The 27,633-nt window shown below is 45.9% G+C and overlaps 3 long non-coding RNA genes and 1 other non-coding gene across 7 annotated transcripts in view; 2 read left to right on the forward strand and 2 right to left on the reverse strand.

Annotated features, from left to right (window-relative positions):
- Positions 1-762: 762 nt before the first annotated feature.
- LOC105370031 (uncharacterized) lies at positions 763-8,995 on the reverse strand. Of its 2 annotated transcripts, XR_945458.2 has the most exons (4): positions 7,645-8,995; positions 6,677-6,839; positions 4,987-5,094; positions 763-802 (listed from the first exon to the last, which is right to left on the reverse strand). It is a non-coding gene; the product is annotated as an uncharacterized LOC105370031 (long non-coding RNA). The 2 variants fall into 2 exon arrangements; XR_945457.2 differs by having other exon boundaries at positions 6,677-8,995.
- LOC124900320 (small nucleolar RNA SNORA70) lies at positions 7,116-7,247 on the forward strand. The gene has a single exon (XR_007063624.1). It is a non-coding gene; the product is annotated as a small nucleolar RNA SNORA70 (small nucleolar RNA).
- A 1,988-nt stretch (positions 8,996-10,983) lies between the features above and the next one.
- On the forward strand, positions 10,984-19,779 carry LOC105370030 (uncharacterized). 3 transcript variants are annotated; one of them, XR_007063493.1, is made up of 3 exons: positions 10,984-11,071; positions 16,846-17,043; positions 17,146-17,207. It is a non-coding gene; the product is annotated as an uncharacterized LOC105370030 (long non-coding RNA). The 3 variants fall into 3 exon arrangements; XR_007063494.1 differs by lacking the exons at positions 10,984-11,071; positions 17,146-17,207 and adding exons at positions 12,028-12,127; positions 19,522-19,779 and having other exon boundaries at positions 16,846-16,955; XR_945453.3 differs by lacking the exon at positions 10,984-11,071 and adding an exon at positions 12,028-12,127.
- Positions 19,780-25,504: 5,725 nt separating this feature from the next.
- The window catches only part of LOC105370032 (uncharacterized), an 84,641-nt gene continuing 82,512 nt past the window's right edge, over positions 25,505-27,633 (reverse strand). Inside the window, exons 3-4 of the long non-coding RNA XR_001749352.3 lie at positions 26,833-26,914; positions 25,505-25,725 (exon numbers count right to left, since the gene is read on the reverse strand). This is a non-coding gene — a long non-coding RNA (uncharacterized LOC105370032). The remainder of the gene's footprint in view (positions 25,726-26,832; positions 26,915-27,633) is intronic.

The raw sequence follows: 27,633 nt of genomic DNA on the forward strand, positions 1-27,633 counted from the left end.
CATGGTTACTTCTTTGACTACCTATCCTGCTTCATGATCAAGTGGGATTCATCCCAGGAATGCAAGGATGGTTCAACACATGCAGATCAATAAACATGATACATAACCTAAACAGAAGCAAAAACAAAAACCATATGATTATTTCAATAAATGCTGGAAAATAATTTTGTAAAGTTTAGCATATTAAAAACCCTCATCAAAATGGTTATAGAAATAACATAGCTCAAAAAAAATGAAAGCCATGTATGACAAACCCATAGCTAACATTGTACTGAATGAGGATAAATGGAAGGTCTTTCCTCTAAGAACTGGAATAAGACAAGGATGCTCACTTTCACCACTTTATTCAACATAATACTGGAAGTCCTGGACAGAGCAATTAGGCAAGAACAAGAAATAAAGGGCATCCAAATTTGAAAGGAAGAAGTCAAATAAGCCTTGTTCACAGATGACACGTCTTATACCTGGAAAAATCTAAAAACTCTACGAAAAAACTGTTAGAACTGATAAACAAATTAGTAAAGTTGCAGAATACAAAATCAACATACAAAAATCAGTGGCATTTCTAATTTTTTTTTAGACAGTCTCACTGGGTTGCCCAGGCTGGAGTGCAGTGGCACGAACATGGCTCACTGCAGCCTTGATCTCTTGGACCTAAGCGATCCTCTCACTTCAGCCTCCCAAGTAGCTGGGACCACAGGTGCATACCTGGCTAGATTTTTTTTAAATGTTGTAGAGATAAGATGGGGTCTCACCATGTTGCCCAGGCTAGTAGCAGTTCTATACACCAACAAAGAACATTCTGAAAAAGAAATCAAGAAAGGAAGCTCATTTACAATAGCACCAAAATAAAAATAAAACACACAGGAATAAATTTACCAAGAAGTGAAATAGCTCTACAAGGAAAACTATAAAACACTAATGAAAAAAATTAATGAGGACACAAAAAATGGAAAGATATTACATGTTCATGGATGGCAAGGATTTTATTGTTAAAATTATAACACTACCCAAAGCAATTTACAGATTCAATGCAATCCCTATCAAAACCAATGACATTCTTCACAGAAAAAGAAAAAATATATAAAATTTATGTGGAACCACAGAAGACCTCAACTAGCCAAAGCAATTCTGAGCAAAAAGAACAAAGCTGGCGGCATCACACTATCAGACTTCAAAATATACTACACAGCTATAGTAACCAAAACAGCACGGTACTGGCATAAAAACAGACCACACAGACAAATAGTACAGAATAGGTAATCCTGATATAAATCCATGCATATGAATTTACAACAAATTTTTTTTTTTTTTTTTTTGGAGACGGAGTCTTCTTGCTCTGTCACCCAGGCTGGAGTGTAGTGGCACGATCTCAGCTCACTGAAACCTCCACCTCCCAAGTTCAGGCAATTCTCCTGCCTCAGCCTCCCAAGTAGCTGGGACTACAGGCGTGCACCATCGTGCCTGGCTAATTTTTATATTTTTAGTAGAGACAGAGTTTTGCCATGTTGGCCAGGCTGGTCTCGAACTCCTGACCTCAGGTGATACACCCACCTCAGCCTCCCAAAGCGCTGGGATTACAGGCATGAGCCACTGCACCCGGCCTTACAACTAACTCATCTTTGACAAAGGTGCCAAGAACATACATGGGGAAAAGGTCAGTCTTTTCAATAAATGGTGCTGGGGAAACTGGATAAGTATACACAGAATGAAACTAAACTATTTTTGTCTCTTACCACACACAACAATCAAATCAAAATGGAATAAAGGCTTAAAACTTTTTGGAGGCAGGATCTTGCTCTGTCACTCAGGCTGGAGTACAGGGGCATTATCCTGGCTCATTGAAACCTTGACCTTCCCGGGCTCCAGTGACCTTCCTGCCTCAGCCTCCCAAGTGGCTGGGACTATACGGACACACGCCACCATGCCCAGCTAATTTTTGTATTTTTTGTAGAGATAGGGTTTTGCCATGTTGCCTAGGCTAGTCTCAAACTCCTGAACTCAAGCAATCCTCTGCTTTGGCCTCCCAAAGTTCTGGGATTACAGACCTGTGCCACCATGCCCAGCAAGACTTAAATCTAAGATCTGAAACTATGAAACTACTAGAAGAAAACATTGGGAAAATGTTCCAGGACATTGCTCTAGGCAAAGACTTTTTGTGTAGGACCTCGAAAGCACAGGCAACCAAAGCAAAAATAGACAGTTGGAATTACATCAAGCTAAAAAATAAGGGAAACAATGAAGTGAAGAGATTGATGCAGGGCAGGTGAACCCCAAAATTAGCCCGGGAGGGTTCTTGGCTTTGCCCAGGAAATAATTCAAGGGCGAGCTGGTGGTGTTAGGCAGCAACTTTTATTGAAGCAGCCGTGTACAGCAGTAACAGAGGTACTGCTCCCTGTTGAGCAGGGTCACCCCATAGGCAGTGTGCCCAGAGCAGCAGCTCAGGGGCAGTTCTGCAGTCCTATTTATACCTACTTTTAATTATATGCAAATTAAGAGGTGAATTATGCAGAAATTTCTAGAAAAAGGGTAGTAACTTTCAGGTCGTTGAGTTGTTGCCATGGAAGGGGGCAGTAACTTCCAAATGTTGCCATGGCAATGGTAAACTAACATGGCACAATGGTGGCCAAGTCTTATGGAGAGATGCTTTTGCCTCTTCCCTGTTTTAGCTAGTCCTCAATCTGGTCTGATGTCTGAGCCCTGCCACTGGCATCAAGTCCCACCTCCTACTTCAAGACAACCCATCAGATAGGAGAAAATATTTGCAAACCATCTCACAAGGGATTAATAACCAGAATATGTAAGGAGCTCAAACAACTCAATAGTAAAAAAACAAATAATCCAATTTTAAAATGGGCAAATGATCTGAACAGATATTTCTCAAAAGCAGACATTAAAATGGCCAACGTGGCTGGGTGTCGGTGGCTCATGCCTGTAATCCCAGCACATTGGGAGGCCAAGGTGGAAGAATTACTTGAGGCCAGTAGTTACGACAAGCTTGGGCAACACGATGTAATTCTGTTTCTACAAAAAATAAAAAATTATCTGGGCATGGTGGCATGTGCCTGTAGTCCCAGCTACTCAGGAGGGTGAAGCAGGAGACTTGCTTTATCCCAGGATAAAGAAGATGTGGCATATAAACATTCAGCCGTACAAAAGAATGACATCTTGTCATTTGCAGCAACATGGATGGACCTGGAGACTATTATGTTAAGAGAAACAAGCCAAGCACAGAAAGACAAATATCACATGTCCTTACTCATCTGTGGAAGCTAAATAAGCAGATCTCATGAAGATGGAGAGCAGATTGATTGTTAACAGAAGCAGCAAAGAGAAGAGGGAAAGGGAGATACAAGGGGGAAAAAAATACATATATAACTTTATTTATTACCACCAATTTTCACTTAAAAATGGTAAAGATGGCCAGGCACAGTGGCTCACACCTATGATCTCAGCATTCTGGGAGGCCAAGGTGGGAGGATTGCTAGAGCCCAGGAGTGCAAGGTTACAGTGGCCTATGATCAAGCCACTGCACCCCAGCCTGGGTGACAGAGCGAGATACTGTCTCAAAAAAAAAAAAAAAGTAAAGCCAGGCACAGTGGCTCATGCCTGTAATCCTAGCACTTTGGGAGGCCGAGGTGGGCAGATCACCTGAGGTCAGGAGTTTGAGACCAGCCTGGCCAACATGGTGAAATCCCATCTCTACTAAAAATACAAAAGTTAGCCAGGTGTGATGTCAGGCACCTGTAATCCCAGCTACTCAGGAGGCTGAGGCAGGAGAATCACTTGAACCCGGGAGGTGGAGGTTGCATGAGCCAAGATCGCGCCACTGCACTCCAACCTGTGTGACAGACCAAGACTCCGTCTCAAAAATAAAAAATAAAAGAAGAAAAATAAATAAAAGTAAAGATGACAAATTATATGTGTATATTTTACCTCAATAAAAAGAGTGTTGCTAATTTCCACATTTTTGAATTTTCCCGTTTTCCTTCTGCTATTCATCTCCAGTTTCATTGCACTGGATATTCAATACAGACCCATTTTGGGCTCATTTATATAATACCTTGTTCAGATCTATTTGCTTATATTTTCTCTTTCTCCACACACAGAAAAAGCCAAGAATTTGTCATTCTGACCCTGATTTGGCTTTCTCTGGGAAATCAAGTCCCTCTTCCTACAATATAAAAAGCAAAGGCTTGACAGAGCCCTGGCTTCACTTCCATCCATCTATAAAGTGTTTTCAATGGAGAGTTTTACCAATGAGGTCTGTTTAGATCCGGCAAAGAGAAGAATCTGCTGACAGTCACATGGAAGAGAATTGGCAACTAAAATAAAATAAAAGCCAATTCTTGGCCCAGTGATTATTGGGTACATCAGAGTATGTTATCCATGAATTCAGTATACCCTTACTGGAAGATTCTGCTTATTGAAAGAGTGCATGGGCCAGGCATGGTGGCTCACGCCTGTAATCCCATCACTTTGGGAGGCCAAGGCATGTGGATCAATTGAGGTCAGGAGTTCGAGACCAGCCTGGCCAACATGGTGAAACCCCATCTCTACTAAAAATACAAAAATTACCCATGTGTGGTGGTGAGCACCTTTAATCCCAGCTACTCGGGAGGCTGAGGCAGGAAAATCACTTGAACCCAGGAGGCGGAGGCTGCAATGAGCAAAGATCATGCCACTGCACTGCAGCCTGGGTGACAGAATGAGACTCTGTCTCAAAAATAAATTTAAAAAAAAGAGAGTGCATGGAATTTTGATTCAGAATGACTAATGCAGGTTATTAGTAATATTCTAGTACAATACCGGGCTTTAAAAAATAAAAATTTCTGGGCTTCTAGACAAAAAAGCGCAAGTGACATAATAAGGGAAAGAAATTAGAATCTACCTTTTTGAGAGCAATACTTTGTACCTGAGGAAAATGGAGTACATATTTAAGAAAAGAAACTGTAAACCGTGAATGTTATATCCAGCAAAACTCACATTTGGGTAGAGAAGACCCTGACGTGCCATGCTGTGACAGAAGACCTCAGGTGCTATTATTCCCATGATCTCTTCCAGAGAAATAACAAACTTCAGACAACAAAATGCCTAGAAAGACATTGACACAGGGCAGATCTTGAGTCCTAAATTTGCTACTTGTATAAATAAGACTAAATGAGGGTGATATGAGAGGGTGTGGGGCCCCTCCCAAGATCAGGTTCACAGGGTGCTAAGACCTGTTTGCTGCTCTTTGCTGAGTGTATGATCTGTCCACAGAGAGTGTCTATAAATATCCTACAGGAGCAAATTAATCCGGGCATTTACCTAGGCAGTCCTCAGGAGACTGGTGCCCTGGCTAGTGAAACAGGTACAGATGAAAGAGAAGGTCTGTAGGACTGCACAATGAAAAGACAGAGTCCTGGCTGGGCATGGTGGCTCACGTCTATAATCCCAGCATTTTGATAGACTGAGGCAGGTGGATCACCTGAGGTCAGGAGTTCGAGAACAGCCTGGCCAACATGGTGAAACCCCACCTCTACAAAAATACAAAAATTAGCCAGGCATGATGGCAGACGCCTATAATCCCAGCTACCTGGGAGGCTGAGGCAGGAGAATCACTTGAACCCAGAGGTGCAGATTGCAGTGAGCCAAGATGGCACCACTGCACTCCAGCCTGGGTGACAGAGTGAGACTCTGTCTCAAAAAAAAAAAAATAAAAAGAAAGAAAGAAAGAAAGAAAAGAAAAAACAGAGTCCCATGTACCTGGGCCCTGTGAGGAGCCAGAGGTCTGATGACATGGAGTAGTCGGGGGATAGTGGCGACCCTGTCCCTCTACTTGAACCATCAATATGATCCAGCCAGGAGGCCTGCACATTAAATATGGACAGCATCCTGGAGCTCTTTTCTTTTTCTGCTAATAATCACTATTGTCTCTACCACCACCACAACCAAACTTTGCCTGTGCTTTTCAATTAAAAAAAAAAAAAATCACAGAGGGTGGAGCAGGATGGCTGAATAGAAACCAACACCATTTGGCCAGGCGCGGTGGCTCATGCCTGTAATCCCAGCACTTTGGGAGGCCGAGGCGGGCGGATCATGAGGTCAGGAGATCAAGGCCATCCTGGCTAACATGGTGAAACCCCATCTCTACTAAAAATACAAAAATTAGCTGGGTATGGTGGCAGGCACCTGTAGTCCCAGCTACTTGGGAGGCTGAGGCAGGAGAATGGTGTGAACCCGGGAGGCAGAGCTTGCAGTGAGCCGAGATCGTGCCACTGTACTCCAGCCTGGGCGACAGAGCGAGATCTTTCCCAAAAAAAAAAAAAAGAAACCTACATCATTTGACCCCTCACAGGACCACCAAATTTTAACAGCTAACTACACACAAAAAGCACCATCGCAAGAACCAAAAATCAGGTGAACAATCACAGTACCCGGTTTTAACCTTATATCGCTGAAAGAGATGCTGAAGAGGGCAGGAAAGACAGTCTTGAGTTGCTGATGCCACCCATCCCCCACCCCCCAGCAGCAGCCCCGTGGCACGGAGAATCAGTGTGCTTTGGAGAGGGAGAGCATAGCAATTGTGAGACTTCGCATTGAACTCGGTGCTGCATTGTCACAGCAGAAAGCAGAACCGAGGTGTACTTCGCTGACACTGGCTCACACAAGGAGCGCTTGGACTGGCACTCACCGGAATTGCCCATCTTAGCAGTTGGAGCTTGAGTTCTGGCAAGCCTTGCCACTGCGAGCTGGAGTGCTCTGGGGCCCTTAGCAGACTTGAGGGGCAGTTTAGGCCATCAGGACTGCAATTCACAGGCAAACCCGAGTGCCGAGCTGGGCTCACAACCAGTGGACTGTGGAGTCAGGGGCACACAACCTCCTGAGACATTAGCTGGGGCAGCTAAGGGAGTTCTTTGGGCCACCCCCTACTCCCACCCCTGGCAGTGGCCATGTGGCACAGACAGATCTGTGCATTTGGGAGAGGGAGAGCTAGCAACTTGGGGACTTTACATTGAACTCAGTGCTGTCCCATCACAGCAGAGACCTGGCAGCATTCATCATCTGCTGACTAAGGAGCCCCTGGGCCCTGTATAACCAACAGCCATAGCCAGGTAATATGCTGCGGGCATCTACAGCCAACTCAGCTGGCTGAGTTCCTCGCCTCATGGGGGACGTGTGCAATGGCTGCAAACAGCAGCTTCCTTGGTGGTGTATGCAGCCTGTTTCTTGTATGGCTGCTCTAAGGGACCTTGGAGACAGGCCCTCAGATGGATGTTCATGTCTCTGACCTTGCACTACCCCAGTGTAGGCTCCAAAAAGGTATGTGAGGTGCTTTTGGAAAGCCCCGGGGCACCGTGGCTGGGGTTCACATTGGCCAATTATCATGTCCATCCGCCTTGAACCCAGAGAACAAGGAGCATGTGATTAAGGCCCTGCTCAGGGCCAAGTTCAAGTTTCCTGGCTGCCAGAAGATCCACATCTCACAGAAGTGGGTCTTCACCAAGTTCAGTGAAGATGAATTTGAAGACACGGTGGCTGAGAAGTGGCTCATCTGAGATGGGTGTGGGGTCAAGTACATCCTCATTGTGGCCCTCTGGACAAGTAGTGGGCCCTGCACTCGTGAGGGCTTCTGCTGTGCTGCCCCTTCTTAATACTCACCACTAAATCCTACTTCCCATCCACCTGTGGGCACTGGGCTCTGAGACATGCTGGCTTCAGGTGTGATCCAGCACATTTCCGGCTGTGGTGGCTACAGTGAAAGATGCCTTCTGTTTGAGAAAAGCAGGAGGAAGAGTAAAGGGGACTTTGTCTTGCCCCTTAGGTACCAGCTCAGCCACAGTGGGGTAGAGCACCAAGCAGGCTCTTGGGGTCCCTGAGTACAGGCCTAGGCTGTTGGTCAGCATTTGCGGACCTGCCCTGGGCCAAGGGGAGCCCACTGCCTGAAGGATGAGTCACAGGCCTGATAGCATTCATCGCAGGCTGCCTGAAGAGCCCTCGGGGTTTTTGTGAACATCAGCAGTGGCCTGGGAGAACTCCTTGCAGGCTGGTGGAAGTGGTGGCCACAAGGAGAGGTTCCTCTGACTGAGGAAAGGGGAGTGAAGAGTGGGAAGGACTTTGTCTTGTGGTTTGAGTGCCAGCTTACCTGCAGTGGAATGATACATCTATAGAATTCTATTCTATCTTAGAATAGAATTCTAAGGTTTATCAATCCCTGGCTCCCAGACAGCATCTCTGGACCTTCCCAGGGAACTCACTGCCCTGAAGGGAGGGACAACACCCTGGCTGGTTTTGCCACCTGCTGATTGTAGAGTCCCAGGCCCTTGAGTGAATTCAGGTGATGGCCAGGTAGCAGTTCTAGCAGACCTTAGGTGAGACCCAGTGCTGGGCTGCTTCAGGTCTGAACCAGTGCAGTCCCAGTGGTGATGGCCACAGGGGTTCTTGTGTCCTTCCACCCCCAGTTCCAAGAGGCCTAGCTTGGAGAGAGAGAGAGAGAGACTCCATTTGTTTGGAAGAAAGCAAGGGAAAAGAACAAGAATCTCTGCCTGGTAATGCAGAGAATTCTTCTGGATCTTCTCCAAGACCACTAAGGTGGTACCTTTACGAGTCCGCAGAACTACAGTTTTATTGGGTTCGGGGTTCAAGTCCCTTTGAATACCTGAAAAGCCTTCCCAAGAATCACAGGCACAAATAAGCCCAGACTGTGAAGACTACAATAAATGCCTAACTCTTCACTGCTCAGACACTGATGAATATCCATAAGCATCAACACCACGCAGGAAAACATGACCTCACCAAACTGAATAAGGCACCAGGGACCAATCACGGAGAAACAAAAATAGGCAACCTTTCAGGCAGACAATTTGAAAGAGCTGTATTGAGGAAACTCAAAGCAATTCAAGATGACACAGAGAAGGAATTCAGATTTCCTATCAGATGAATGTAACAAGGAAATAGAAATAATTAAAAAGAATCAAGAGGAAATTCTAGAGTTGAAAATGAAATTGACATACTGAAGAATGCATCAGAGTCTTAATAGCAGAATTGATCAAGCAGAAGGCCGGGTGCGGTGGCTCACACCTGTAATCCCCACACTTTGGGAGGCTGAGGCAGCTGGATCACTTGAGGATAAGAGTCTGAGACCAGCCTGGCCAACATGGCAAAACCCTGTCTCTACTAAAAATACAAAAAATTAGGCTGGGCCTGGTGGCTCACGCCTGTAATCCCAGCACTTTGGGAGGGTGAGGTGGGTGGATCACTTGAGGTCAGGAGTTCGAGACCAGCCTAGCCAACATGGTAAAACCCCAACTATATTAAAAATACGAAAATTAGCCAGGCAAGGTGGTGTGCACCTGTTATCCCAGCTACTCAGGAGGCTGAGGCCAGAGAATTGCTTGAACCTGGTAGGTGGAGGTTGCAGTGAGCCGAGATCATACCACTGCACTCTGGCTCGGTAAACAAAGCGAGACTCTGACAAAAAAAAAAAAAAAAAAAAAAAAAAAAAAGACTTTGAGACCAGACTGGCCTACATGGTGAAACCCTATCTCTATTAAAATTACAAAAGTTATCTAGGCATGGTGGGAAGTTGAGGCAGGAGGATAGCTTGAACCTGGGAGGTGGAGGTTGCAGTGAGCCGAGATGGCACCACTGTACTCCAGCCCAGGCGACGGAGCGAGACTTTGTCTCAAAAAAATACCAAAAACCAAAAACAACAAAAACAAAAAACATCAAAAGACTATGAGAAACAGTGATTGGATGTTTGGGGTGTGGATATCGGAATCTGGAGCTGGGGACAGGTGTGTCATTTGATAGTCCCTTTTGAGAACCACTGTTGATCTAAAGCTATTCCAGTTCCCTAGGGGATTGCTAATAACCGGTGCAGCTGCTGAGACAGGGAAAGGGGCCTAATTCCTTTTGCAAAACAAGGAGCAATATTTATATGAGAACTCAGTACATTTCATCACATAAAAATTGCAAAACGCCAGGCTCTGTCATTTTTAAACTAATATTTTTGGGAGTCCACCAAACAGTCTCTAAGATGGAACTGATTGTGAATATGCTGGTGCCAGGTGCAATGGCTCACACCTGTAATCCCAGCTACTTGGGAGGCTGAGGTGGGAGGATCACCTGAAGCCAGGAGTTCGAGGCCAGCCTGGGCCTCTCTAAAAAAAAAAAAGCTGTAAGTCAAATGATATAGCCTCTAGAAGCCACAGTTTGCTCATTTACAAACTGGAGGAGAATAAGATGAGAATTGTCTGATATTGAGGATCAGAAAGTGCTTCATGATGCATAAAGCAGGTAATGGATTATCAATGCTTTGCTGCTCAGACACACAGCAATGGGTTCATACCATTCTGAGAGTCTAAATTTAGGACGTGGTGTGACCAAAATTACCAGTAATTAAGTTTCTTATGTTTCTGAGGCTCTGCTTCCTCATCTGTACACTGTGGCAAGACCTTGTTCTGACTATGCACTGAGGATAAAATAAGGCCTTTTGAAAAAGATGATGACACTGACCACTAATTAATGATTTCAATGTTCCCGTCCAAGGTCAGGCAAAAGCAATGCAGAGCCATAGAGAATGTTGGTGCAACACTGCCCTCTGCTGGTCAGTAGCAGCACCACCATGGTTACAGAGAGGAAAAGGTCTTTACAAAGGGATTCCTGGGAAACTGAGGCAGAGAGTGGAAGGGATTTGCTCAAGGGCACAGAGTTAGCTTTGGACAAAGTGATGGCTCGAATCTGAGATTCCTAATTCCTAGTTCTTTCTAGAGGGAGAAAAATAAGGGCTGGAAACTAGTGGATTGTCGTTTCACTCTCACTAGGCTCTGCACGGCATTTTAAATAGGCTGATTGGAATTTCTCTCTCCTGTTCTTCCCTTGCCACCCAAACTGCTCGGGTTTCTTGTCCTTTTCTTCATACCAGGATAACCATCTGTGTGGCCCCATAAGGCCCAAAGTCCTCTTGGGTGCTGCCGGAGGTCCAACAACCAGTAAAGCACGGAAGCTGGGATCTGAACACTCACTTGAGACCCCAAGGCCCACAATCTATTTGCCACCAAAAAACAAGACAAAGCAAAACACCATGGTAACTTGTGTTGAAAAAGATAGATCTTGTGTTTTGTTATTTCCCCGAATGGTATTTGTTGGGCAGACACATGTGTGTGTACAGGGTAGCAGTCAGGATGGACCACAGGCCCCCACACTATGAAACCCTTCAGACTCTCCCATAGAAATGAGGGGAACTGAGCCAGGTGCAGTGGCTCGTGCCCGTAATCCCAACTTGGGAGACTGAGGCAGGAGGATGGCTTGAACCCAGGAGTTCAAGGCTGTAGTAAGCCATGATTGTGCCACTGCACTCCAGCCTGGGGGACAGAGTGAGACTCTAACTCAAAAAAAAGAAGGGAAGGAAGGAAGGGAGGGAGGGAGGGAGGGGAGCCAGGCACAGTGGCTCACACCTGTAATCCTAGCACTTTGGGAGGCCAAGGCAGGCACATCACTTGAGCCTAAGAGTTTGAGACCAGCCTAGGCAACATGGTGAAACCCATCTCTACAAAACATACAAAAATTAGCTGGGCATGGTGGCACATGCCTGTAGTCCCAGCTACTTGAGAGGCTGAGGTGGGAGGATCACCTGAGCCTGGGAGGTCAAGGCTGCAGTGAGCTGTGATCGCCCCTCAGGACTGGAAGTCCTCCTGGTCTGGGTTCAAACCCTGCATTTCTGAACACTACTGTGTGCCAAGCCCTGGCAAATCATATTTCTTTTAATCTGATAACACTGTGAGGTCGGTACAATTATTATTATCACCATTTTACAGGTGAGCAAATGGAAGCTCTGAGACATTAAGTATCTTGCTTAAGAGCAAGAGTTGTGGGGAACCCAGGTGTTGATAATTTGCCAGCATTTGACGTGATGCTTCATGGTTTTATTCCTCCCCATTTGCAGACAGGAAAACCGAGTTGCAGACAAATGAAAGTGACTTACCTCAGGGCCTTTGCATGTGACATCCTCTCTGCCTGGAATGCTCTTCTCAGATATCACCTTGGCATCCCCCATCACCTTCTTAAGGTCTTCACTTAAAAGTCATCATCTGGCCGGGCGCGGTGGCTCACCCTGTAATCTCAGCACTTTGGGTAGGCCAAGGTGGGTGGATCACGAGGTCGGGAGATCGTAGACCATCCTGGCTAACATGGTGAAACCCAGTTTCTACTAAAAATACAAAAAATTAGCTGGGCATGGTGGCAGGCACCTGTAGTCCCAGCTACTCAGGAAGCTGAGGCAGGAGAATGGCGTGAACCCGGAAGGCGGAGCTTGCAGTGAGCCGAGATCGCGCCACTGCACTCCAGCCTGGGCAACAGTGTGAGACTCCATCTTAAAAAAAAAAAAAAAAAAAAAGTCATCATCTTAGGGAGGTCTTTTCTGATCACCCTATTTAAAAGTTCAGGCTGGGCGTCATGGCTCACACCTGTAATCCTAGCACTTTGAGAGGCTGAGGCAGGAGAATCACTTGAACCTGGGAGGCGGAGGTTGCAGTGAGCCGAGATTGCGCCACTGCACTCCAGCCTGGGCGACAGAATGAGACTCTGTCTCAAAAAACATAAAAAAATAAAAATAAATAAAAATAAGTTAGCTCCATGCTTTTAACTCAGTAACAAAAAGACAAATGACCAACGTCAAAAGTGAGCAAAGGACTATCTAAGAAGATATATATACACGGCCAATGGGCACATGAAAAGATGCTCACCACGTAATGATATGTATTAGGGAAACACAGATCAAAACCACAGGACACACGACTTCCTATCACTAGGATGACTGTTATTTTAAAAATGGAAAATAACAAGTATTGGTGAGGAGATGAAGAAATTGGAAGCTTTGTATATTACTGATAGGAGTGTAAAATGGTGCTGCTGCTGTGGGAAACTGGCCATTCCTAAAAAAGTTAAACATAGAATTACCATATACCCAGCAGTTCCACTTTTAGGTTTTTACCCCAAAGAATTGAAAATGGGGACTCAAGCAGATACCATTTTTATTTTTATTTTTTATTTTTAGTAGAGATGGGGTTTCACCGTGTTGGCCAGGCTGGTCTCGAACTCCTGATCTCGAGTGATCCACCCGCCTCGGCCTCCCAAAGTGCTAGGACTGCTGGCGTGAGCCACCATGCCTGGCCTCAAACAGATACTTGTAACCTAAATGTTCACAACAGCACTATTCACAGTAGCCAAAGATGGAGACAACCCAGATGTCCCTAAACAGACGAATGGATTAACAAAATGTGGTCTATCCATGTGATTCAATTTTACTCAGCCATAAAAAAGAATGAAAGGCACATGCTACCACATGAATGAACCTTGAAAACAAGGTGAGATTCTTGTGAAAGGAGCTAGTCACAAAAGGCCACATAGTGTATGATGCCATTTATGTGAAATATCCAAAAACAGACAAACCCACACAGAGAAAGAAAAGCAACGGTTACCAGGGGCTGGAGGAGGAGGAATGGCCAAATGGGTACGGGGTTTCCTTTTGGGGTGATGAGAATGTTCTGGAACTAGACAGAAATAGTGGTTACATAACACTGTGAATGAACTAAATGCCACTCAATTGTTCACTTAAAAAAAAACAGAGATGGAGTCTTGTCGTGTTGCCTAGGTTGGTCTCTAACTCCTGGGATCAAGCAATCCTCCCGCCTCAGCCTCCCAAAGTGCTGGGATCACAGGCCTGAGCCACCGCGCTGGCCAATTGTTCACTTTTAAATGATTAATTTCATGTTATTTGAATTTCACCTCAATGGAAAAACTCAGCCCCAAACATGCCTTATCTTCCCTCCCTACCTGATTTTTCTCCTAATGCACAGGGCCCCTCACACATGGTATGTCCGGCCTATGTGTCCATTGTTCATCCTGCTTCTTTAAAATATAAATTCCAACAGGGTAAGGATTTCATCTGTTTTGTTAACTCACATATGCCCAAAGAGTCTCTGGTACTCAATAAATATTTGTTGAATAAATGAATTAGATAGGGTGTGGTGATGGAGAGAGTCCCGCCGCCATCCCTGCCCCCATCTCTAATTCTAACGTTCTAACCCGGCTCTTGACCTTGGAGCCGGTTAACGATGATCCTGTCTGGGCTCATTTTCCCTCCTTTTCCTGAAGAGCAGCATCCACAGGCCCTCACTCAGCTCACTCCCTTTTAACCCTTGTCTGCTGAGAGTTTGAGATAAAGGGGGCCACGAGAGAAGACAATGAATCCATTACAATGTGTGATGAGCTGTCTGCTCTGTGGCTTCCCACAGCAATTTATCATGACCTGGAACCACAGCTGTGAGGCCGGGTGTTCCCCCGCCAGGACCTCACTCCCCAGCTGCTTCAGAAGGGAACATTTACAGGAACCTGTCCATACCTATTTAATGAACAGCTGCTCGGATGCAGCCCTGTCCCAGGCACTCAGCCAAATGACAAATGAACTATATAATCATTCATTCATTCGATGATTCATCCATTCTGTGATTGATTGATTCATTCATTCATGTGGTTGTCAAACATTCATTGAGCACCTACTATGTGCCAGACACTGTACCTTGCACTGTGGCCCTTAATATCAGAGATGTCAATGTATGATAGACCAGGATTCCTCAGCCTAGGCACTGGGGACACTTTTGTTTTTTGTTGTTGTTGTTGCTGTTTTTGAGACAGGGTTTCACTCTGTGGCCCAGGCTGGAGTACAGTGGCACAATCACAGCTCACTGCAGCCTCAACCTCCTGGGCTGAAGCAATCCTCCCACCTCAGCCTCTTAAGTAGCTGCGATTACAGGCACACGCCACCATGCCTGGCTAATTTTTTTGTATTTTTTGTAGAGATAGGGTCTCCCTGTATTGCTTAAGCTTGTCTTGAACTCCTGAGCTCAAGCTATCCTCCTGTCTCAGCCTCCTAAAGTGCTGGGATTACAGGTGTGAGCCACCATGCCTGGCTACTGTGCACATTGGAACCAGGTATTTCTTTGTCACAGGGGTTGTCCTATAGATTAGCAGCACCCCTGGCTGCAGATGCCAGTAGCACTCCCTCAGTCGTGACAACTAAGATGTCTCCAGACATTGCCAAACGTCCCTGGGGCACACAGTCATCCCTAGTTGAGAACCACTGGTCTAGACAAGTATATTTTCCTCAAATTATCAGAGAAAAAAATGCTTTTATTTTTGCTGTTTCCTCCTTCTCTCCCTCTCTCTCTCCCCCTACTTACCTACCTACCTGGCTAGTTAAATTGGAAAGCAAAAGCATAATTACAGCTAACATTTGTAAATAGCACATAGTAAGGGGTCATTTTATCTTGGTTATTCTCGCAACAACTATATGGGCAAAATGCCACCAATGTTCACTTTACAGATGAAGAAATCAAGGCCCAGAGATGCTAAGCAAGTTGTCCAGGGTCACACCAAGATGAAGGGGCAGAGCTGGGGTTCAAATCCAGGTCCATATGACTCCAGAGCCCGGGTGCCACCAGATTAAGATTAAGATTAAGAGACCAGGTTAAGCAATATAGGAAGACCCTATCTCTACAAAAAAATACAAAAAAAATTAGCCAGGCATGGTGGCATGCACCCGTAGTCGCAGCTAACTGAGAGGCTGAGGCGGGAGGATTGCTTCAGCCCAGGAGGTTGAGGCTGCAGTGAGCTGTGATTGTGCCACTGCACTCCAGCTGGGCCATAGCGTGAAGCCCTGTCTCAAAAACAATAACAACAAAAACAAAAAACAAAAGTGTCCACAGTGTCTAGGCTGAGGAATCCACTGTGCCACACTCCCTGGCACACAGCCTCACACATTGTAGTGAGCAATAAACATTTATTACCTCAGTGAATGAACACAAGAATGGGGCAAGGATTCTGAGAAAGGCCTGGAGAAGCATAGGCTGCAATTGGAGGCTTGATGTTCTGGAGGGACGTGTATTATCTTAATTATTTCCATCCATCAGTCCATCCATTCATCGATCCAGCCACTCATTCACCAAGCATTCCCCAAACACCTGAGTTGTGTCTGGCACCTAGGAGGAATTCTGGTTTCAAGATCTCATAGCTGGCTGGGCACGGTGGCTCATGCCTGTAATCCCAGCACTTTGGGAGGCTGAGGAGGGCAAATCACTTGAGGTCAGGAGTTCGAGACCTGCCTGACCAACATGGTGAAACCCTGTCTCTACTAAAAATATAAAAATTAGCCGGGCGTGGTGGCATGCACCTTTAGTCCCAGCTACTCGGGAGGCTGAGGCAGGAGAATCACTTGCATCCAGCAGGTGGAGGTTGCAGTGAGCTGAGATCGCACCGCTGCATTCCAGCCTGGACAACAGAGAGAGACTCCATCTAAAAAGAAAAAAAAAAGAAAAAAAAATTCTCGTAGCCAAGGAGGACGCATTAATTGTGCTCAGGAATAATTGCCACATCAGATACAAAGTGAGAAGCCACGTTATGAAGGGACACAAAGATGCTAGATTAGCCAAGACTCTTGGTCAAAAGTGATATGTATGCCTGCTCCAATTGGCTTAAGCAATAAAGGGAGGTTATTGGCTCCTAAATCTAGTGAGGTTTCAGGTATGGCTTGATCAGTGTGTTCAAATGATGTCATCAGAAATCCCTCCATCATTACCCTCTGCCTCTGGTTTTCTCTGAGTCAACTTAATTCCCTGCTGGCATGACGGCCACCAAGAGCTTTAGGCTTATGTCCTGCCAGCTTAGCAACTCCAACTCAAAGAGCACCACTTTTTCAATGATTTTAGCCAAAATTCCAAGACTTGTCTCAGACCAACCTGAATCATGTGCCTGCTCTTGAACAAAGCACAGTAGCCAGGGAAAAATTGTGCTTTGATTATCTAGGACTGGATCCTGGACCTGCCCCTGGGACTTGCGGAAGGGGACAGCTCAATCTGAGCCATATCAACTGAGAACACAGGAAGCATGGTCCTACCAAGAGATGTCTATTCCAGGTATGGTGGAGCCTCAGAGGACAGCATGACTCTCGTTCAGCTGGTGGATCAGGGAATGGTCCAATAAGCCACAGCTGTGGATATGAAGGTCTGTTGATTTCAGATTGAGCTATAGGGGGATACTGGGCATGGCAGAAAAATCTATCAATCTCTGCTATAGTTAAATATTTGAATATTGGATTGTTTGCAGATCTTGTGAAATCAGTGACCTCTGGGTCATGTAGAAACCCAGCACATTCCCACAGGACACAGCCTAGCAGTTGATCAGAGCAGTAGTTCATACCTGAGACCCTGGATTTTCAGACCCTCCCCCAGGCCCCACCAGCCTCTGTCAGTGCCAAGCTGGACGGAACAAACCACATGAGGTTGGTCAGGCCTCTACCCCATGGAAAAACACAGAATGGTGATTTTTTGCCTGTACATTCCTGGACAAATAAATTCTCTTTTGGGAGCTTTTTCCTGGCTGGGCTATGTTATATGCCTCAGAGCTGCCCAGATCCCCTGGAAACCCAAAGATTTCCTTCCATGTGTAGGACTCATTCAGCCCCAGCTCAGAGGACTGTTTCATGGGTACTGGTGGCAGGAATTCTTGGTTGTCTTCAATGTCTGGCTCCCTGATTTTCGGTAGGGAACATGGTCAGCAGAATGAGGATGGCATTTCCTACCTTCTACTGCAGGTAGGTGTGACCATGTGACTACGCTCTGGCCAATGACCTGCAAGTGGCAGTGACAGATCCCATCCTTCAAGGGAGGAACATGCCTTCTCTTTCTCCTTTCCTCTTTCTTCCAGGCTTTTAATTTTTTATTGATTTATTGATTTTGAAAAATGGAGTCTTGCTCTGTCACCCAGGCTGGAGTGTAGTAGTGCAATCTCCGCTCATTGCAACCTCCACCTCCTGGGTTCAAGCAATTCTCCTGCTTCAGCTTCCCAAATAGCTGGGATTATAGGCACGTGCCACCACGCCCAGCTAATTTTTTGTATTTTTAGTAAAGATGAGGTTTCACCATGTTGGCCAGGCTGGTCTCGAACTCCTGACCTCAGGTGATCCACCTGCCTCAGCCTCCTAAAGTGCTTCCAGCCTTTTTAGAATTCAGTTCTGGTGGGAACCATTTTGGATCATGCTGATGAAGGTAACACCATAGAGATGGCAGAGCTGGGGTTGGGTCTGGTGACTCACGCTTGTAATCTTACCACTCTGGGAGGCCGAGGTGGGAGGATTGCTTGAGCCCAGGAGTTTGAGACCAGCCTGGGCAACATAGTGAAACCTCATCTCTACAAATAAACTCTTGGCTAAAGCAATCCTCCCACCTCAGGCTCCCAAGTAGCTAGGCTACAAGCACACACCACCATGCCTAATTAAAAAAAATTTTTTTTTGTAGAGACAGGGTCTCGCTATGTTGCCCAGGCTGGTCTTGAACTCTTGGCCTCAAGTGATCCTCCTGCCTTGGCCTCCCAAATTGCTGGGATTACAGGCATGAGCCGCTACACATGGCTCATATTCTCAATAGAGCAGTCCCAATTGGCCACTGACCAGCCAATAGTCTTGCTCTCCTGGGCAGATGTTCACCCTGGTCCAATAAGCCACAGCTATGGATATGAAGGTCTGTGATCTCAAATTGAGCTAGAGGGGGAAGATGGGCATGGCAGAAAAATCTATCAATCTCTGCTACAATTAAATATCTGAGGTCAGACATGGTGGTTCACGCCTAGAAACCTAGCACTTTGGGAGGCTGAGGTGGGTGGATCACGAGGTCAGGAGTTCAAGACCAGCCTGAACAAGATGGTGAAACCCTGTCTCTACTAAAAATACAAAAATTAGCTGGGCATGGTGGCAGGCACCTGTAATCCCAGCTACTCGGGAGGCTGAGGCAGAGAATTGCTTGAACCCAGGAGATGGAGGTTGCAGTGAGCCGAAATCGTGCCATTGCACTCCAGCCTGAGCGACAGAGCGAGATTCTGTCTCAAAAAAAAAAAAAATTGAATATTGGATTATTGAAACTTGGCATAGAGCAGCCACTGTCCTTGTCTTCTAAGAGCTTATATCATATTATTATTTTATTATTATTAATAACATATCATTATTAATTAATAGCTGCAGTTCACTGAACAGTATTAGATACCAGGCATGGTGCTTGTAATTAGTCATCTCATTGAATTCCCTTAATGAAAATTAGGTAGTCAGAGACCTTTCTTCATGGATCGCAACCCCAGGGGCATGTGGGATTTCAGAGATGTGTTTTGGGGAAAGAGGTATAATTATTCAACTTTCAGTTAATTAGCCACTTAGAGAAATTAAGTGGTAGGTGGAGTTGTAAAGGAAGGCAAAGTACTGGGCAGGCAGATGCTAAGTGGGCGACTGTTCTAGGCATAAGAGAAATGGGGGTGGGTATGAAAAAAAGCAAGAGAAAGAGAGAGAGAGAGAGAGAGACAAGGGAAATTTGGTTTGACTGGATAAAAAGGCCAGTGAAAAGAGGGAGTTTTGGTAAGAGCTATGCCATGGGCAGGGAGAAGTACAGAGATCTTCAATCATGGACTCTATCGCCATCCCCTCTTCTCTTCCTGCAGGTGGGCAGAACCAAGGTGCCCTCCCTACACCTTCCTGGGGCCTCCAGCGATCCTGAGCTCAGCCTCCTGACCTGCAGACCCCTCAGCTCTGGCCCTCACGTCCTGCTTGCTGTACCTGCTTTATCCCATATCACCATCTCCATTCCTCAGCATAGTGACAATCCCAGTTCCTACCCATTCCACTGGCTTCTCCATTTGGCTTGGAGCTCTTTAGCTGGATTGAGACGACTACTCTGATGAGTGCCATGTCACTGGCTCAACAAAATGGGCCCAAGTGAGTCAATGTCATTGACATGAAGGTGCTGTCAGTTTGGTGGGAACCAAGGGAATGAGACTGTGTTTTAGCTGCGTTCGTTTGAACAGTTACACACTTAGGGCTTCTTATGCGGATGCTCAGAGAGAAATATGGAAGACGAGATCTCGTAGAAAACAAGAAGACATGTTGTAAATGAGTCAGGCCTCCTGGAGTCCAGGACTAGGGAGGAACTCTTTATTGAGGATCACTCGAGGGAGTCTTGGGGCTGGTGGTCTTCACGCCACAGCCCCATAACTCAGCTCCTCTCTTCCTTCTCTCAGTCTCTCTGCTTCTGTTTTTTGTCTCATGTCCTAAATGTCCAACTATTCAGCATAACTTTATTCTGCTTCCCCTCTCTATCCTCTGTAGCAAAATGCACTGTTGGAATTACATTTTTATTTTTATTTTTATTTTTATTTTTTTAAGACGGAGTCTCACTCATTGCCTAGGCTGGAATGCAGCGGTGTGATCTCGGCTCACTGCAACCTCCACCTCCAAGGTTCAAGTGATCCCCTTGCCTCAGCCTCCTGAGTAGCTGGAACTACAGATGCCTAACACCATGCCCAGTTAATTTTTATATTTTTAGTAGAGATGGGATTTCACCATGTTGGCCAAGGTGGTCTCGAACCCCTGACCTCAGATGATCTGTCTGCCTTGGCCTCCCAAAATGCTGGGATTACAGGCATGAGCCAATGTGCCCAGCTGGAATTAAATTAATAATTTTTATTTCTGCTTTAGCGAGAGAGGCGGTGACTCACTGATACAAGGAAGATATTTCCCCTTCCAAGGGTGATGTATTCAGCTTTTGGGTTTAAAAGGAGATGCTATCAGGCACGCGTGGCTATCCTGGCAGATTACATAAAAATACAGAAGAAATGTTCTTTGTGTTAAAAGAATAAAAAAGAAAAAACAAAACGTGTTTCCTCAAAAACTTAAATACAGAATTACCACATGACCCAGCAATTCTACTACTGGCTATATCCCCCCAAAGAATTGAAGGCAGGAACATGAATAGGAATTTGTAGAACCATGTTTATACCAGCATTATCCACAGTAGCCAAAAAGTGGAAAGAAACTAAATGTTCATCTACGGATTAACAGACAAACAAAATGTGGAATATCTGTACAACAGACTTATTATTCAGCCTTTAAAAGAAATGAAATTCTGGGCCAGGCGCAGTGGCTCACACCTATAATCCCAGCACTTTGGGAGGTCGAAGCGGCAGATTTCTTGAGCCCAGCAACATGACGAAACCCCATCTCTCCAAAAAATACAAAAATTAGCCCAGTGTGGTGATGCATGCCTGTAGTTCCAGCTACTGGGAGGCTGTGGTGGGAGGATTGCTTGAGCCCTGGAGGTCGAGGCTGCAGTGAGCTATGATGGTGCCACTGCACTCTAACCTGGATGACAAAGCAAGATCTTGTCTCAAAAAAGAAAGAGAGCGAGAGATGGAAGGAAGGAAGGAAGGAAGGAAGGAAGGAAGGAAGGAAGGAAGGAAGGAAGGAAGGGCGGACTAGTTAGAGGCAGTCAACCCATCCATTATTTGAATGAGAGCATCTCTTCTGTGTTAGTTGGACTAAAGGAGAAGCTGCCAGAACTCTCAAGGGGAATGAGAAAATGGAAGGGAATTGAGGCTTTGGTTCTATAAGGTAGTAGACACCTGAGCCACATTCCAGTACCTTATTCCAGGACCTATCAATGACCAGGAGATGCCAGGGCAAGGACACCATAGGAAAGATGCCAGCGTGGGTGGCCCATTGTGTGCTAGATTTGAGACTGATCCCAGCACCCAGGCAGGCTGCCTCCAGCAGGCGGATGTTTGCCTGGATGTTTGTCTGGCTCTGTTCTGCAGGGATGCTGTGGTCAGTCTTCTGATCATCACAGAATTCTTTGGCTAAGAGTAAATGAAAGCCCAGTTAAAACGACTTAAACAATATTTCAGAGAGAGAGAGAGAGAGAGAGAAGTCCCAAGGTAGGGTGGCTCCTGGGTTAGTTAACTCAGCGGTTCAAACCAAGTTCTTTCCATCATTCTGCTCTACCACCCAGAGCGTGTCATTTCAGAAAGGCCATCTCTTCTTGTGTCTCTTTCTTAGGAATGACTCCTTCCTTCTTTCCTTCCCTCCTTCCTTCCTGGCTTCTTTCCTACTTTCCTTGGTTTCCTCTGTCCCTCCCTCCTTCCTTCCTTGATGGGCTCTCACTCTGTCACCCAGGCTGGAGTGCAGCGATGTGCAACCTTGACTCCTGAGCTCAAGTGACCCTCCCACCTCAGCCTCCCAAGTAGCTGGGACTGTACGTGTGCACCACCCACGCCTGGCTAATTTTTAACATTTCTGTAGACGGGCTTCACTATGTTGCCCAGGCTGGTCTTGAACTCCTGATCTGAAGCAATCCTCCCATCTCAGCCTCCCAAAGTGCTGAGATTACAGGTGTGAGCCACTGTGCCCAGCCCCTACATCTTTCTTTAGAAGCCCCCCAACAAGTTTCCTCTCACGTTTCATAGCCATATACTCATTTTCATATCCATTCCTACACGAGTCAACCACAAGCAGAATGAGACTAACGTGATACTCCTGAATTGGGGATGAAGCTGTCTTTCTCAAGGGTTTCAAACCCGAACAAAATTGGGGATTCTGTTAATAAGGAAAATAGAATGCTTTATTTATTTATTTATTTATTTATTTATTTATTTATTTATTGAGACAGGGTCTCACTGAGCACTCAAGGCTGGAGTGCAGTGGCATGATCACGGCTCACCTCGACCTCCTGGGCTCAAATGATCCCCCACAATTGCCACCCAGCTTCCAGAGTAGCTGGGACTATAGGCGCATGCCCACCACACCTGGTTATTTTTTCTATTTTTTTGTAGAGAAAAGGGGTCTCGCTATGTTGCCCAGGCTGGTCTCGAACTCCTGGGCCCAAGGGATCCTCCTGCCTCAGCCTCCCAAAGTGCTGGGATTACAGGCATTAGCCACTGTGCCCTACCTAAAATGGATTTTGAATGGGCAACTAGGAGTGTCTGCTACACCCCTGATACGGACGAGCTCTAAGGATTAACGGACACGTGGGAAGGACTGTTTCAAGCACGCTTCTATTACCAATTACCGGGTAGGGATATGGCCCACACTCTGGGTAAATGGTGGCTCACCTACAGATTCTCATTCCAGCCTGTGAGATGGTGAAAGGGAAGAGTGGGGTGTGCTCTTTATTTTTAAGGTCCTGACCTCTGCATACAAAGTTCCCTCTACTTCCTGACCTGAGTAAGACCTGGCTCTTCCCTGACAGTCCTCGAAGCCCTTCCCAGGGGATGGTAGTCCGTCTCCCACCCCCATGGTGTCCTCTATGCTCCACACCTCTATTTCCAGATCCATAGTCCTCCATCTTGAGTAAGCACTGAGGCTCCTGACATCTAGCTGTACCACCTTCTGTGCCTTCTCATTGATGATGCCTACTCATCAATCAATCAATCAACTGTTATTCTCAGAGGGCTTTGGCAACTGGCTTACCCTTCTCGCCCCAGTTCCTACCGCCATATTGGTGACTTTAATGACCCAGGACCTGGCCGAACTCCTGGCCCTTCAGCTCCTGTCCCTTCTTATTCCAATGACCTTCACCTCCACTCTACTTTAGCCACCATCTCCCTGGACCATGTACTGGCCCTCAGTTTCTCCTGGAACGAATCTTCCTCTAAAGTCTCACATTTCTCTGATCACAGACTTGTACCTTCTGTTCTTTTGATCATTCCAGCTTAGCAGTTCTTCGAACTCCAGGATCCCTTGGCCCTTCCACTTTCTCCCTCTCAGGACCCTCCTTCCTCCAATTCCTTTCCCATCCAGCCTAGATTCCATGATCTTTGCTATACCCAGTCATGGATGTTGTGAATGACTCCCCAACATCCATTCCAACCCAGACGGTTGGTCCAAGTTGGTCATGGTCATTCCCTGTCTCTTATCAGGAGAGAAACAGTCATGTGACTCACTTCTAGTTCTAGAGGGTAGAGTGAGGTGGGGTAAAGAGGACTCTGGGAAAGATTTTCCCATGAAAGAGACAAAAGAACTGATGATCTTTCCTCCTGAGGATGAACCCAGCAACAAGGGTGGCAGTGCATAGAGACAGGAAGAACCCAGATCTTTGATGATGTTGTCAAACCACTAAATCAACCCCATCTGAAGTATCTTCCCCCAGGATATCCCAATACATGAAATAATAATTTATTTCATATTTAAGCCAGCTTGAGTCAGGCATTCTGCTACTTTCAGACAAAAGCACCCTAAATAACTTAATTTGCAACTTGCAGCAAAAGCCCAGTCCTGGATCAATGTAAATTTCCTTCCATTCTGTTTTTATACCTGTTCTGCTTAGACTGGTGGAGAAAACAATAGGTCCTCAGTCTTCCAGAAACCTCAGACGTCTCTCTACCCATCCACCATTAGGAGAGCGTTTCCCCATCCATCTCCAGCCTTTGTTTAGGGTTGCAGAAGACCTGCGTTGTTATGTGAAGTGGCCAGCTGTCTTGACTAGGAAATAGATATTTTTTAAAGTTCCCAAGGATAGCATGGGTATTTGGCTTGGGTAGAGGGGAACAGAGGGGAGATCTTGAGGTTAAAAGAAATCCAGCATTCATAAGGAGGTAGGGTAGTTATACTCAGATTAAGTTGAATGAACGAAGTCATTCCCAGTGGCTGAGTTGAGTTAGGGGACAAAGAGAAGCTTCCTGCCTGGCAGGGGTGCAAGCCCCAGGGGAGGGTGACCTATGGGCAGAGCAACTGAATCAGCCTTTTGCTCCTGTATCTTGGACCTGACTAGCTACTGTCCCAGTAACACATGTCAACACCATAACAAACATAGTAGATACCAATGATGACACATCTTAAAACTATGTGAACCAGTTGGCAAGTCCTGGTGGTTACTGAGTGTGGAGGTAGGAGGCGGTTCCTATTGGTGGGAAGGCCCAGGCCTCTACCATAATCTCAGTCACCTAGACTGTTGGCAATAACAAATTCATGGTCTCTAATTCTTACCACTACTCTGGAATTCCTGTTTTCCCTGTTGGCTCTCTCCTCCCATTCACCATAGCAACTATTTTGAATCTTCTCTACACTCATCCCACCTCCCACCTGCCTGCCTTCCCTCTCACTCTCAGGCACCTCTGCCTCCCCTTCCTTCCTTGCTTCCTTCCTTCCTTCCTCCCTCCCTCCCTCCTTCTCTCTTTCTCTTTCTTTCTTTCGTTCTCTTTCTTTCTTTCTTTTCTTTCTTTTTCTTTCTTTCTTTCTCCTTTCTCTCTCTCTTTCTTTCCTTCCTCCCTCCCTCCCTCCTTCCTTCCTTCGAATCTTCTCTATACTCATCCCACCATCCCACCCACCTGCCTTCCCTCTCACTCTTAAGCAACTCTGCTTCCTATTTCTTTCTCTCTCTCTTTCTTTCCTTTCTCTCTTTCTCTATTTCTTTCTTTTTTTTTTTTCAGAGTCTTGCTCTGTTGCCCAGACTGAGGTGCAGTGGTGCAATCATGGCTCACTGCAGCCTTGACCTCCTGGGCTCAGGTGATCCTCCCTCCTTAGCCTCCCAAGTAGCTGGGACTACTGTGCCTCCTATTTCACACAGAAAAAAAAAATTTTTTTATTTTCGTTTCATTATGTTGCCCAGGCTGGTCTCAAACTCCTGACCTCAAGTGATCCTCCCACCTCAGCTTCCCAAGTAGCTGGGACTACAGGTGTGAGCCACCTCACAAGGCTTCACACAAAATAGATGCCATCTATCTGATTGGGACTATCCTTACCTTGCTTGCTTACCTGCAACTGTTGTAGCACTGTCCGGTTGAGCTTTCTATACTGCTGGGTAAGTACCGTATATCTTTGCTGTTCAATATGGTAGCCATTAGCTACAGGGGGCTATCAAAATATGGCTTGTACAGCTGAAAACAAGAATTTTAAATTTTACGTCATTTTAATTAATTTAAATTGAAGTATGTGTGAGTGGCTGCCCTATTAGGCAGCACCAGTTCAGCATAACTAAAAGAAAAACATTTGTGGATACCAAGGCACTGGGGTTTCTGCGAACCCTCTGACATCACTAGGCAATAGACTCTCGACCAACGATTATAGGAATTCTGAATTAGGTGATGAGAAGGAAGTAAGATAGAGTTTAAAAAAAAAAAAAGTACATTCGGCAGGGTGCAGTGGCTCACGTCTGTAATCCCAGCACTTTGGGAGGCCGAGGCGGGCAAATCATGAAGTCAGGAGTTCAAGATCAGCCTGGCCAACATGGTGAAACCTTATCCGTACTAAAAATACAAAAAAATTAGCTGGGTGTGGTGGCGCGCACCTGTAGTCCCAGCTACTCGGGAGGCTGAGGAAGGAGAATCGCTTGAACCCGGGAGGCGGAGGTTGCAGTGAGCAGAGATCACACCATTACAGTCCAGTCCGGGCGACAGAGTGAGATTCCGTCTCAAAAAAAAAGGAAAAAGAAATAAAAAAGGCACATTCACTGAGAAATTGCCCCGGAGAAATAAAGAGGAAAAAAATATTGCTTTGACGTGTTGTTTTAGTCGTGGCAGTTATGAAGAAGGAAACCACACAGTGAACCATGGCTGGAACATTGGTTCCATGGTGGTACATGGCTCTGTACACATGACAGAGAAGAAAAGCCTTGTATCATGGCTGCAAAGCCCCACTGGTACTGACATGCTCACAGCGTCTGTGGGAGGAAAGATGGAACACCAGCCACGTAGAGAAGAGAGTGAGGTGTCGTCATCAGTTGAGTAACTTCAAAGAGTGTCCAGTTTTCTTTGTTTGCACTTTCTACCTTTCATGCAAAATGTGTGCAACACAAACATATGGGTAACTTGCACGTCCCATTTTGTGTAGCTGATTTTGCTCACTTTTGGAGACTCTGCTCCTGGGGCAGTCCTGGAGAAACAGCCGAGAGAGCAAACCAGCTGAACACTCATTATTTTCTTAAGCAGTAGATAGCTGCAAAAGCTCCATTTCGTTTCTTAAACAGTTTCTTTCAGTCTCTTTACCTGTAGGTATGCTAGTTTACAAGGACTCCAGATGGCCTGGGAGCTTCAGAACCTTTTGCCAATTATCAGAGGAAGGTAAAGCCTGCTGGAAACCAGAGCAACGCAGAATCAGGGACTCCTTGCTATCTTTAGACCATTAATATATCATTATAATACTAAAATTCCCACCCAGAGAAGAAAATTGCTATTTTCTTTTTTCTTTTTTTCGTTTTTCTTTTTTTGAGACAGAGTCTCGCTCTGTCGCCCAGGCTGGAGTGCAGTGGTGCAATCTTGGCTCACTGCAACCTCCACCTCCTGGGTTCAAGTCATTCTCCTGTCTCAGCCTCCCGAGTAGCTGGGATTACAGGAGTGCGCTGCCACACCTGGCTAATCTTTGTAGAAAATTGCCATTTTCTAAACATGCATCCTGTGAAGAGACATGTTTATGATTTGCACCTGCACATCTAAAGTTCCTCCCTGCACAAACATACAAACCTCCCCGCCCCATATCTAACTCCTTAAAATTCCCCAGCTACCCACATCTTGGGGAGGAGGAGGCGTCTCTGGAGCAAGAGGTCATTCCTTCTCCTTCTCTGGCCAAAGAATAAATCCTGCTTGCCTTCCTCCCCGCAACCCTCCAATTTGTGTTCTTTCTTTGCAACTGACACAAAGTAGGGAAAGGACTCAGTTTACCCATGGCAGTTCTATCACATTTTAAATAGTTACACACCTTTGCAAATCTGTAAAGTTTGAGTACATTTTCCTGTCTCCTCTGACCTCCCCTGAACGAGCAGCCAATTGTTTAAAGATCCTATTTGGAGA

This window comes from Homo sapiens, chromosome 12, assembly GCF_000001405.40.
Source record: "Homo sapiens chromosome 12, GRCh38.p14 Primary Assembly".
NCBI classification, from domain to species: Eukaryota; Metazoa; Chordata; class Mammalia; order Primates; family Hominidae; genus Homo; species Homo sapiens.